Source organism: Homo sapiens, chromosome 10, assembly GCF_000001405.40.
Source record: "Homo sapiens chromosome 10, GRCh38.p14 Primary Assembly".
Lineage (NCBI taxonomy): Eukaryota > Metazoa > Chordata > Mammalia > Primates > Hominidae > Homo > Homo sapiens.
The window spans coordinates 128,540,968-128,554,755 of NC_000010.11; the positions used below are offsets into that span (position 1 = coordinate 128,540,968).

Genomic DNA, 13,788 nt, shown 5'->3' on the forward strand with positions numbered 1-13,788 from the left:
ATGGTTTGAGGTCCACTGTGAACCAATCTGGACTTTTTTTTACAGTCATATCCATCAAAACGACCAGTGGCCATCAGCCCGCTGCGGCCATCGATCGGGTGGCCCCTGCCCCCGTGCAGGCCGGCGTGACCCGGCTCCTAGGTGAGGCTGGAGAGAAGGACCTCGTTTTAGCGGATTTTTTCCTTTTTTTTTTTTTCTTTTGCCTCCAGCTACAGCTGTGATTTTCTGAGCAGTCTTGGCTAACGTTATTAAAGTTGCATCAGGATAGATACAGAGCAAAGCAGATAACAGGCTCCGCGCGCGGGAGCTGGAAAGACCGGCAGCCTCTGGTTCCTGTTGTTGTTTTTTAAGTGCGCGGAGGCGCAGGCGAAACTCGGAGTTTCCAACTCGTTGCTTATTTTGCAAAGTAAACAAGCAAATGTTATGTGCATAACCTTCGCTGTCTCGCTAAAGGTCAGCGCGCCCCTGCTCATTTCCCGGGCTGCCTTTTGGGGGCACTCTGATGCCGGGGATTTCCTCGGGTGTTGGGGAAACAAGACGTGCTCGCCTAACAAAGACTCAATCTACAAAGGCTGCAAAACAAAAACATTGATTACATCTGAATTGGAGTGCGGAAGTTTGCTTCGGGGGTATAAAATATCAGCCCCTTAAGCGCTAAATAGCGAGAGGGCTGGGCTGGGGCCAGAGTGCCCAGGCGCATTCCATAGACATTTCCTGGAGAGGAAGATTCCCTGTGGCCGGCTCCTACAGTAGTCACCCAAGACAGGATGGCAGCGAAAATTCAGGAGATAAGAGGCTAGGTTAAAATAAAGTTTCCCTGGAATTGCGTTTTCTTCCATAGTGGCATGTCACGTTAACATCTTTGAAAGTACTTAGGCAGAGATAATTTCATGTATGTACACAAGTTTGAACACAAGAAAGAACCAGGCAAGACACAGAAACACACACACACACACACACACACACACACACTTATATGTGGGAATAGGGAGCTCATAGATACACAATTAAACAAAAATTGGCTGCTTAAAAATCCCCAGTTAGGTCAGGTTAAATTTATTATATTCTTTTATAGCTGAACTGTATGGTTTTGACTTGAGGTGACAGTTGAAATGCACCAGAAACCTTTGGAATTTCAGTACTATATATTACTATGAGGAAGAAAATAAAGTTCTACCATTAGAAGGGCTTGCCTTAAATGTTCAAGGAAAAAAGATGTTAATTTTTCCCTGCAATCTTTTTCTTAAGTATGGAGTGAGTTACATGGGTAGAACAGCCAGCTAAGTGTAATATCAACATAGCTGGGAAGCATCTGTCCTTGCTCTGCGTTAGAAATTGTCAGATTGCTGTAATGCAATAGGGGAAGATCGCTCATAGTTTTAAGTGAAAACACCTACTTTGGATAATGTGCATTGTTGTCCTTCTGAAGAATATCTTCTGGGCAAGATTCAGAGCCAGGTGTATTTTTTGCTATAAGCATTATTGACCATTGATAATGTCCACCAGGACAGAACATGAATCTTTTTATGCAAGGCTGCCAAAGGCTGTCCAAAGTTCAATTCCAAGTGAGATGGAAAGGGGAGGATTTTTTTCCCCCAGAAAAATTTCTCCATTTTTTGAGAGGTGTGTATTCATACAGTTCCTTTTGAGTTTTCCTATTCAAATCACCTCTGACTTTAAAAAATAGATTAAATGTGGAATCCACTCTGGAAATGGTATCTGTGTGCAGTGGCAAATGCCCTGTGCTATGTCAGGTGTCTGCAGTGGATTTTGTAATCCTCGGCACCTTCCTGGCAATCACAGTAAAAAGCGCTCCTTAAATTGTGTAGGCCATCAGCAAATGCCCGGAATTACCTCTGACTGGGCCCGGAGCTGAGCAGTGCTCTCTGCTGTCTTATCACTGTTGTAATGACATTGAAATATGCAGTGTCGCCGCAGCCACTCTGCAGGTCAGAGGTACAATTCTCTGTACCATTTCTGGAGCGTGGTCTTGTAAGGAGGCAGCCAGCATCTGGCCTGACTGGCTGTGTGGTTGCAGGTGAAGTAGTTTTATTTGGGCACCAAAGGAGAAAAGGCAACACAAAACAAAAAGAACAACCAACAAACAAAAACTTAACTCAAGTCCTGATAAACAGGCCGTATTTCTGTGTGCTCCCTAATTTCTGTTTGATGGAAATATGCCAGAAGTGTCTAGTTATCAGAATCCAGAGTCAGGGTCTTAAAGGGCTGGTGTCCAGAGTTACAACTGTATGCATATAAATGCGAGAAATTAATTTCCGATTCCTAGGAAAGCAGTGATAACAGGTTCTGTATTTTTTCATTCTTTGGCACAAAGAATTCAAGAAAAGGAGACAATGTCTCAAATTCTGCCCTAACCACAGAGCCACGGTCTTCCAGCTGCGTTCCCAGCACACAGGGGCATACTTGAAGGCAGTTAAGGAATCTGCTCTTTGGTTTGCATGACATAGTTTTCAAAGCATCCAAACTGTTAAAAAGGAAGCAGAACACCTTTCTGAGCCAGCGTCGTTTGTCGTTCGGTTCTGGCCTCTATCCGTCCGTCTGCACGCTAGGAGCTCGGTGACCGGCATTGTCAGCTCAAGATGAGATTGTATTTTTCACCGTGACTGAAAACACTCCCTGATGGTTGGGCAATTGTTTTATTTCTATTTTTCACTTGACTCCAACCCCTAGTGCAAAAGTACCAGAGCAACCAGAGGGTCACTGGAGCTCGATTTTTCTTGCATTTGTCATCCTGAGGATAGGATTCCTACCTGCTCCTTTAACCAAACGCTTGAGAGCCACAGCAGGGCTGGACAGGATCTCCTCGCAGGGGATTCTACTGATCAGCACCACGTTTAGGTATTCAACGGAATTTTGCAGATCCCTTCTTGAGACTGCTTATATTTTGCTTTTATTTTATGTGCCAAATTTACAACAGAAAAAAAGACATTATTTAGATGTCTGCACTTCTGTCAGGACATAAGACTTAAAGGGGGACAGATTTTTCCTATTTTAGGTCTTCAAAGGAGCAAAAAGAAAAAAATAACATGGATACTGTATTTCTTCAAGCTTTCTTCTAATGTCTCTTAAATCACTCACCATTTATTAAGTATAAATCCTGCAGTGTGCTTCCAAGAAGAGTACCCAGAAATGGAACAACAACAACAAAAAAAACAGAGAGGAATTTACAAATAAGTGTTATCCAGGATGGGAGCTTAAGGTTGACCGCAGTGCAGCGGCTGGATACATGGATGTGTTGTAGGTAGCACGCACAGGTAACCAGCGAACTTGAGCAGTCTGTCCGCTTTCAAGAACCACAGCCAATGCTAGGTGTGGCTGGTGGTGGCCTTTTTCATGCTATTCACATTACATCCCTTTTTTCTTTTAAAACAGCACGGCCAGCTGTGGCCAGTAATTGCGTGTCTTTGTTCTAGGGGCTTTCTAAAGAGCTCATCAATAGGGTAAGCATGTATTTGCAGAGTGTTTTTCATCCACTCAAAACAAGTGGGCTGCACCATCACACGAGCCCTCTTGGCCGGCAAACAGTGCTCCTTGTCCAGGAAGTCAAATGCCTGTAACTGTGAAGAGGGCCGACCCAAGTGTAGAGCCAGCCTTTCTCTTTGCAACATTTGAATATCTTAAGTAGAGAGTTGCTGTGAGCAAAATGAAAACATGTCATGTGCCCAGGTGACATTTTGTAGCAAACAAGGACATCACAACCCAGGAAGTGTTGTATTTTATGCCAACAACAACCTGACAGTTTTCTCTGTAAAGAAAACATGACACTTTTCCAAATATCAGAGGAGGCGTCCACCGCTCAAGGGATTGCTGTCCTGTCACTGAACTGGAAGGTCGCAGACTGGCTTCATGATTTCTGTGGTTTCACAATGTGGAGGTGGAGGGGTTTGCACGCTGAATGCTGTAGGCTAAGGGAAATCTTCCCCTTCATCTTGGAAAACAGTGACAGGAGGAAAAAGGTCCTATGTTGACAGCAGTAACCTCTAGGTTTAAAGACTCTGCCCTAAGCAAGGTAAGTAAAATTGCCCATGTGAATGCATTGCCAGGGCTGTCCTGTGTATGGGAAGGGCTAACGTTAGTGTGCAAAGCATCCTCCTCCCCCTGCCCCTGGGAGTTCTACTGTAGATCAGGGCAGAAGGGATTCTTACTACGGATAAAAAAAAATTCCTGTTTCATAACAGCTTCGGACCCCATGTCTCTCCACCTCTACTCTGTGTGCTGGAGATGATCAAATGCACTCTCGCTACGCCATGTCCTCCAGATGGGGAGCTAGCCCAAAAGGGCCACACACTGGCATTCAAGGGAACTTGCTTTTTGGAAAGTGCTGTAGAGAGGCTTTGAGGTGTCTTAAAGTGCTTATGGTCATTCTGTCATTTCCCAAAAGTGCACAGCAGGAGAGAAGCTCCAAAGGCACCTGTGAGCGGTGCACGCCTCCGGACTGGGGCAGGTGTGCCCGGCGTGGCCTGAGCCCCCGAGTGTCCTGGGAGGATCAGGAGAACAAGGGAGGCAGCGCTAATGAGAATACAAGACTGACAGTGAAGACACAGTTTGCTTCCCTTTCACAGTGAGGAGACTCGACTTTGAACCCTGATAAATGTTGATGCCCTGCTTTTATCTGGTCTCAGCTGTGCTGCTGAAATAAAAAAAAAAATTCTTTCAACCAATGTCTTCTAAGAGTGGGGTTCCATTTTAATTAGTAGAAAGGCAAAATGTCCCTTGCCATGTCAACGCATAATTTTCTTTGAGCTAAAGTAAAACAGGCTGCTGCCTACAACTAGGAAGAAAAATAAAATATAATAATAATTAAAAAAAAAAACCCATGCTTGAAAGCAGAGAGCAGAGTTGAAGCCCATTTGCTCTCCACACACCGCAGACACACCCCTGCCTGGCCTCCCCAGGCCTCCACAGCCCTCCCCACTCCTTACACTGTAGGTGATATACTTCCTGTTGCCCCTTTTATAAGCAATAAGAATTTAATAACTGAGGGCAACTCTATAGCAATATTTATATGGGTCAAGTGGCTTAAAAGTATGCAATAAATGTAAAGTTATGAACCACATTGCCCCTTTTTAAATAATGCAATGAGCACGGAGATATTATGTTTCATATTCTGGAAAAAGGTGTTTCGGGCTAAGCTCTTGGCGTACAGCAGACATGAAAAGTTATACTGAGCCCGTAACAGAGTCACTGCCTGCTTAATATGGTGTGTTATGTAGAGCTCCTCATCCTAATCTCAACCCACAGCAAGAGGGTCCCAGATGGTATCAACAAAATCTCAGCTTCTCATTAGCAATCAGCAGATTCTCCTGGTGTCTGCTAGTTTCCAATCAAGGCGAGAGCCTCCACTCCTCATGTGAAGCCCAGTAGGATAATAGAAATAATGTTGCCTAATCAGTGGCAAGCACTTGAGATCCCACATTCATAACGGGCTGGAGAGAATTTGGTGGAGTTGCCGTTCAGCATTTTCACAAGTTCCAGAAGCCCGGGAACACACAGGCACTAGGGTGGCAGGAGGCGAGACCTGAGGACACAAGGTCCCCATGAGGGACTGGATGCCCCACTCGCTCTGAAACCCTCTCGGGCCATGGTGGGAGGGGCTCCTTCCTTATTCGGATGTTTGTGGGAAGTTACATTTCCTGGGCAAGTCTGAACAACACGAGGCGCTGTGGGTCGCATTCTGGTGCAGGTTATGCCATCGCCAGTGATGATGGTGACTTCAAGCGGCGGCTGTTAGCTCTGCACAGGAATGGAATTGTGTCTGAGGCGGCCTGGATGGCACTGCCCAAGCCACCTGAGGGGCTTGACAGAATTTAGAGGAGCAGATGCAGGCCAATTCTTCCCAGTGCTGGCAGCCCGACATCACCTGTCCACTCAGCACCTCACCGGGCGGAGCCCCGGCTCATGCCGTCTACTACCTCCTGGCTCAGTGCCTGTCCTCAGGGACAATGTGTCAGCCTGGGGGCTTCAGTGTCCGTTGCCACATCTGGCCACCCACCTGGATGGAAGCTGGCTGACAAGCACCACCATGCCTAAGTACAGGGCCACCCAGTGTTGACACGGGGGCGTCTGGCCCTGAGACGTACCCACTTACCAAGAAGTGCATTTGGAGCCTGTTGGTCCCAGCTCCCCTTCTTCAGCTGCGGTAGTCACCTGGGCCACACCTGTGCTGGGCCAAGGCTTGTCCCCCGGCTCTGCCCAGAGCACCTAGGCCTCAGCAGCCACCCCCAGCCTGAGGAGCGCAATGCCTGCAACAGAGAGACTTTTTTTGTGGTTACAGAGGAGAAAACAATCACAGCCAGGCTCCACCAGGATAGGCGTCCCCTGGGCAGGCTTCAGTGTGGACACACTGGCCTACGATAGGACTGGAGGCAGGAGCCCCCCAGCAGGCTACACTCAGAGGCAGCCTTTCCCAGCCCCTCTCCAGACTTAATAGCAGACACCAGGCCAGTAGGGAAAGCAGAGGAGAGGCTCAGGGGGCCGGAAGAGCTCTCCGAGGGAGGCCTCTCCCTCTCACCTCCCAACAGGGACCAGCAGGCAGTCAGGGCAGGGCCAGCTCACGGCCCGTGTGGCCCCACCTCGGTGGGGCTGGAGTGTTGCTCCTCTGTCAGCCTTGCTGGCCTGGCTGTGAGGTCACAGCCCAGGGGTTCTGGAGGGGGTTTTGAGAATGGGCATGATTCCCGGGCCTGTGTGTCTGCTGTGTTGATCATCTTCTCCGTGGTCAGCATAAGGACCACTGAGGCATGACTTGGACACTTTGTAGATTATTCACAGAAACAGCATTCATTCCCTCTCTGGTTCCCCTTTCATATTCAGCCCTGGCCTCTGTACTAGGGGAGAGAGCAGATCTGAGAAACAGTCTGAGCCTGGTATAACTAGGAAGGTGTCCGTGCTGACATGAATCCCGTGTTCAATGTCCGTGTCTACCATACGTACCCTTTTATTATTCCTTGTTCTTCTTTTACCTGGGGCCCGCGCTGCTCTCAGGCCAACAGACTGCCTCTGTTCCTATGCAGAGCATGTAGACTTCCTGACTGCTAACTTCTCCATAGAAGGAAAGAAGGAAAAAAGGGAAGAAGGGAGGAGGGAGGGACGGAGGGAAGGGGAGAGGGAAGGAACAGCATATAAGCTAAATTGCATTAGGTGTTTCAACAACATAACTCCATACTGAAGTTTTATTTTCGCAGATTGTCTGCAATTATTTCTGTGTTGTGGAAATGACAGCTCTGTTCCAGACTATTATTTTCTTAACGAGAGTTTGCAATACAGAGTAGAAATCAAGTGTTTAATTAAAAAGAAAAGTTCTGCATTTTCTTTTAGTAGGCAAAGGCAGGAAATACCTTATTTGAACTCAACATATTTCTTCAGGCAGAAACATCCTATGAGCTGCATGTAGACTTGAAAAATCTGAGAGTGCTAGGACTAGAAGGTTATCTACCCCTGGTACGTTCCCTCCCTTCCTATTATCTCCCTTGCTAATTAAGATCACTGAGCTTGTGACAGCATCTGCAATGGTGTGAAGACTGCACATCTAGAAATGCCTGTCCTTCAGAGAGAAGGGCCAGCCCAAGGCCAGCTCATGCCCTGCCATCTTGACCACCTTGTGAAGCCTTTTAGACTTGGTCTCTCCTCCTGACTCCCCTTCCTGCACACTCTTCTATTAGACACGTGACAAACACCTTCCCCATTTCACTGTGAGCACATTCAGGGCAGGGACCAAGGCACTCAGCAAATATGTGTTAAGTGAATGATGCGTAAGTCAGCAGAAGCTCCTAGATGTTCAGGGCATCAGGAAGGATACTTTCAGTCTTGCTTTGCTCTCACGGAAACCCTGAGAGGGTACCATGCGGTGATTTGACTGTAGTGCCGAGGAATCACGTTGAATTCTGAAGGGTGGCTTGGTGGAGGAGGGCTGAACATAGCAGAGGAGTTGCCACTCTGCAAATGCAGCTGAGATGATGGAGGCTGTTCCAGGAGGGAGGATCTGTGTCCACAATGGACCTGGACCAAAAGCGTGCACAGGGCTGAAGTTGCACTTAGCTTGGACCCCATCCCAGCTCTCCTGCCCATTTGCCATTGGAACCTAGGCCAGTCACTTCCTCAGAACCTCAGTTTCCTCATGTGTGAGATGTGGACAATAGTAGCTCCTACCATCGGGGTTATTGAAAAGATGAGTTGAGCTGAGGAATGGAAAGGACTCAGTGCACATCCTGTGCATTGGCAGTGCGCTATAAATATAATTCTCAGTTTATTCATTTAGCACCAGGGTCGGCAAACTTTTTCTGAAAAGGACCAGATGGTAAATATCTTCAGCTTTGCAGGCCATATGGTCTCTGTTGCAACTACTCAACTATGCCATTGTGGTGTGAAAGCAGCCATAAATAATATGCAAATGACTGGGTGTGGCTGTGTGCCAATAAAACTTTATTTACAAAGACAGAGGGCCAGATTCGATGTGCACACTGTCATTTGCTAACTCCTGATTTAGTACGTTATTCCTACTAGTACCACCCCCACCTCCTAGATACCAGTTTGGAAACTGTTTTGCCAGGGGCCCTGGGCTAGTCTTGGTCAGCATAAATCCTGCTGCCTGGGGCATTTTAACTGTTCGCAGAGATCAAGGTCCCATTAATCTGAAGACATTCCATTTTGTATCTAACTCAATTCAGTTTTACATGCACCATTGTGAAAGGAAAAAGCTTTGTCACTATTCATGATATTGTTCGTGATACAGTAATGTTGCTGCCATTCACAGAGCTAGTCCGGGCTCTTCACCTGTGTCTCATTTCAGTCCTTTTTGAACCTTTGCTTGTCATGAGCACAATGAAGGAAAAAGTCATGATTGGAGGAAGAATTGAAATAGCAGACAATTTTCAGGTCATTCTAGGAATATGATCTGTCTAACAGAACTATCAGATATTTTGTTTTTTAAAAATACTCTTACTGTAGTAATCTGTGTTCCTTCAAAAATCGAATTGATAGGCACTAAGCGAATCTTGGTTCTTCAATTAAATTGAAGCGTCATTGTATAGATATTTTCTCATGAGTTTTTCAGTGAGCTAACTTGCGGTTGCTTTATTTTTAAGGAAACACAACAACATGTCCCAGCCCTAGCGCCGGATGGTGAATGGATGTGAGATGGTCAATACCTGTGTTCAGGTCAACAGTAAGTCATTGAGGCACTGAGTGTGAAACAGGATCAAATGTCCTCAGGGAAGGACCATGCAGTAAGACAGGGCGGCCATATGGGGAGCTCCAGGGTCCTAGGGAGGGACCCCAGAGGGAGCAATCCGATTGGAAGAGGAGTGGACTCTTGATGGAGATCTGCATAGGAGACACGCACGGCTTTCTTCAGCCCCACTTGTTTTCTGGAGTGGCCGTGGTGACAGAGGGGCTGATGGAGATTGGGGAACACCGGGGTGCCCTAGTCCTGCCCCCTGCAGTGCCCCTTTCAGCGTCTTTACACAGAGAAAGAGTCTGGATAAGGGGAAACAGTTTCCCTGGTGTGATTCTTTCCAGAAGGGATGATGAGCACAGGGTTGAAGAAATGGCTTCCGCAGAGCAATGGAAAATTGTTGCATTATGGTGTGTGCAGAAAATCACAAGTATGGAGGACGCAATGTACAGGGGCAGTGCGGGGCAGGACAGACTGAGATAAATGTGACAGCAATGGAACTGAGCTTTCTATTGGGAGTGATGGCTGTCCAGGCTAGAATGGTGGATGGCAGGGCAAGGGGACCTGGCCACAGCTGAGTGGCTGGACCGAGCCAGTGCTCTGGGAAGAAGGGAGCTAGAGGGCAGCCTAGGAAACCAGCATGCTCCCATGATGGCGCCTGACACCTGCACGTGTCTTTCTGATCTCCACGGGGCTACCCTCATTCAATCATTCAATAATCATTTATTAAGTCAATTGTTATGAGCTGGGCATGTGCTCCTCCTGGAAGATACAGAATTGGAATATGGACCCTGGCCTCAAGGGGTTCACAGTCTAGTGGGAAAGAAATGTTCGGTGACTTATTTAGTCAACAAATTTTTATGGAGCACCTATTATGGGCCAGGGGCTTGGTGGGCACTGGGAATCCAGCTGTGAATCGCAAGTGTGATTCCTGCCCTCCCAGCTCTTGTCTGCTAGTGGAAGGGCCCATCCTCTGCAGGGATCCATGCACTCCCTGTTCTGACACCTGCAGACTCTGGGCTCCACTCTTTGATTAAAGACAGCTCAGGCCTCCATCCCTCATAGAGCTGGGAGGCCCCTGCTCTCTGGGCTGGGGTCTGGGGGCTCGTGTCCCTGTGGTTTTGGCAGAGTGTGGGGCCTCCACTCTGGCCCATCATGCTGGGCTCTGGGGTTGGCCTTGGTCACTGACTGTGCTTGCAGCCCATTGCTCTGGGCTCTGGAGAGTCCTTTACTTTCCCAAAGTGCCCCTCACAGGAGGCCCTTGTGTATGTAGACTTTATTACTATTATTTTTAATTGACATAGAATAATTGCACATATTCGGGGGCACAGTGTGATTTTTCAGTACACGTATATAATGGGTAATAATCAAATAGGGTAATGAGTATATCCGTCACCCAAACATTTATCACTTGTTTGTGTTGGAAACATTCAGAAGTCCTCTCTTGTGGCTATTTGAAAATATACAATGCCATGTTAACTGAGGTCACCCTGCAGTGCTGTGGCGCAGTAGAACCTGTTTCTCCTGCCTCACTGGAATTTAGCCACCTCTCCCTCTTCCTTTCTTCTCTTACCCATCCTAGTATATTAAGACATTTGCTGAAGGTTTCATGCTGGAGGGGTGTCTCGGGAAACGCAATGCAGGCACCCTCTCCTCAACTCCTGTCGACACTTCTTTCTAGTGTGGCCCAGGCCTGTCCCCATGCAGCCAGTCTCCCTAAGGCCCTGGAACTCTGGTGGAATTCACTTGGTTTCTCTCAGTTCCCTTTGTAGAAAGACCACAGTCAGAAGGACCAACATTACCCTGAATTAAGGGCACTGAAGCCCGGGGCTCTGGTTTGCCCTGAGATTCTGGTAGTTCCCTCCTCCCCCTCGGCCAAGGCTTTTATATCCTTAAGGGGCACTCGTTTGGCAAATGAGGATGCAGTGTCTGCTGTGCTCCAGGCAACACCCTGTCTTCCCTCCTCCTGCAGAGAGTGTGACAATGCATCACTTGGTCAAAGATAGAAAGTGTCTTCCCTGTGTGGGCTCAGGCTGATGGATCTCATGTGTGAGGGATGGGGGTCTGCATTCCCCTTTTGCTGGCATGAGTATCCTAGGTCATTGGAAGTGTCTTTGTGGCTGAGGATGGCTTTGCCGCTGCCCAGGTGTCATGGGTTTACCATCTCTGCTGGGATAAACTCCATCTTTGCACCTGCTGTGCCTGGCAGACTCCCAGGAGGGCAGGTGAGACATGGCTGTGTCCCCACCCAAATCTCATCTTGAATTCCCACATGTCGTGGGAGGGACCTGGTGGGAGGTGATTGAATCATGGGGGCAGGTGTTTCCTGTGCTGCCTGTGCTGTTCTTGTGATAGCGAATAAGTCTCATGAGATCTGATGGTTTTATAAGGGAGAGTTCCCTTGCACAGGCTCTCTTCTCTTGTCTGCCACCATGTGAAACATGCCTTTCACCTCCTGCCATGATTGTGAGGCCTCCCCAGACACGTGGAACTGTGAGTCCATTAAACTTCTCTCTTTTGTAAATTGCCCAGTCTCAGGTATGTCTTTATCAGCAGCATGAACACGGACTAACACACCATCTATTCAGCCAGCATTCACTGGACATCCCCTTGTGCCAGAAAATGGGCATTTGGCATGGCATCTGACGAATGAGGTGCCTGCCTTGGGAAGCTGACCACAAGAAGCCTGCATTTGCTGAAGGCCTTGTTATGGAGAGGCCCTGGTACAGGGACTTAGTTATTGCTCTTGATGGGTCAATTGTTGCTTGGTGTGTGTGGTTGTCTGAGGCTCACAACCAGGCCTGACTTCATGCAGCTGATGCTCGTGTTATCTCCCGTTTTCAGAAATGGGAACTGAGGCAAAAGAAGGTCACATCCCTTGCCCCAAGTCACATGTGGCTGACCCCAGTTCCTTACTTCAGAACTTACCCTCGTAACTGCTGCACTGAATGTTTGCAGGAGCACCATGGGGATGTTACTGACTTTGCTCACAGTACTACCTTCGCTTATGGGAAGACAAAACTTTTCTCAAAAGCGTCTTTCCAATAGGTTGAGCATAGCGTGTTTTGGAGCTGTGGCCAGACTTCCACACTCAGGAGTGTGAGAGCCACCCCTGGAAAGATCCCAGCGCTCTGACTTTCTACCCAGGCCAGAAGTGGTACAGAGTTGGTGGATTGGAGGTTCTCCATTCAGAACTGGCCATGGTTATATTACCGGGGAAAGATTCAGGTGGTGTGGCCAGAGCCAGCAGCTGCATCACGGCACCCATTTTATCCACCCCTCCCCTCCTTTACTGCAGAACCCACCTGGAACAACCACCTAAAAGCTTCGTTGTGGACAGATCGGTAGTCAACACGTTTGTGGACACATTGGTGGAGCACAGTTGAGCTCTGGAGCATGAGGGCTATGTTCCTTTTCTTGTAGATCTTAGCCTTTTGTCAAGAGCAAGTAAAACAGGTTTTGGCTAGGAATAATAATACTTTCTCCGAACTTCCTCTACCAGACATACAGACTTTGAAATGGTTCTCTTCCTAATCATGGAAAATATTTTTAAATTTAAATGATCTCTGTGATGCTCCTGGTTACTATTTATTTGTTCCTTGTCTACACATCTATTATTATTAGGTTTTTTTTCTGTAGCATAATATGGTCAATAAAAGTGGTTTGTTTCCTTAAAAAAAAAACAGAAAATAAAAAGTGTGTTGGCTTGAGGTGGTGCTTGGAACTGGAGCTGAGCTGGCTCTTCTCAAGGTGGCAGAGGGGAGGGTGTGAGGCTTGCATCAGACCTGGTTCCGTTTATTCTCTGCCATTAACCAGCCAAGCAAACTTGGGCGTGGTGAATTACTAAACAATAAATTTATCACATTTCCTCTCTCTGGGCCTTGGTCATATCTCCCAAGCCCTAGAAAATTCTCACTGTGTGAGGGCCAGGAACTGGACTAGAAGATCCTTGGAAAACTTTCTCTGGCATGTGATTCTCCAAAAAGATGCATGGATGACATCTTGCCAGACCCTCCCTTAATTACATCTAGTGAATTCTTTCAACTTTCTCCTTTTGTTGCAGGGCAGGTGAACCCCAGAACAAGGGCTTAGCCCTGGAGGGTTCTTAGCTTCACCCAGAAAGAGATTCAAGGGCAAACCAGCGGTGTTAGACAGCAATCTTTTATTAAATGGGAGCTGCTCCTTGCAGAGCAGAGCTAACTCATAGGTGGTGCACCCAGACCCACACTTCTGGGCTATTGGCAACTGTACTTATACCTACTTTCAGTTACATGCAAGTTAAGGGGTGGGTTAATGTAAACTGAGGGGCAGGTTATTGAGAACTTTCTAGGAAAGGGGTGGTAACTTTTGGGTCATTGGGACAGTAGCTTCTGGGTTGTTGCCATGGCACCTGTGGACTGTCATGATGCTGGTGGGAGTGTCTTATGCTAATGAGCAATGAGGGTAGCCAGGGATCACTTTCCTGGCCATCTGCTGGTTCCTGCTAGTTTTTTTACTTTATCCTGTCTGGACTGGGAAATAAGTCCTGGTGGTCTCCTACCTCACTTTCAAAATTATGGTTATCCTTGTGACACAAAACAGGCATGGAAGAAAAACGT

General features: G+C 47.5%; 1 annotated feature.

The window, feature by feature from the left end:
* Positions 294-969: an enhancer, noted in NCBI's record as "OCT4-NANOG-H3K27ac-H3K4me1 hESC enhancer chr10:130339525-130340200 (GRCh37/hg19 assembly coordinates)". NCBI's record gives its function as "activates a minimal SCP1, AML or CMV promoter by ChIP-STARR-seq in primed H9 embryonic stem cells {active_cell/tissue: H9 hESC(primed)}" and the evidence as "EXISTENCE:reporter gene assay evidence [ECO:0000049][PMID:30033119]".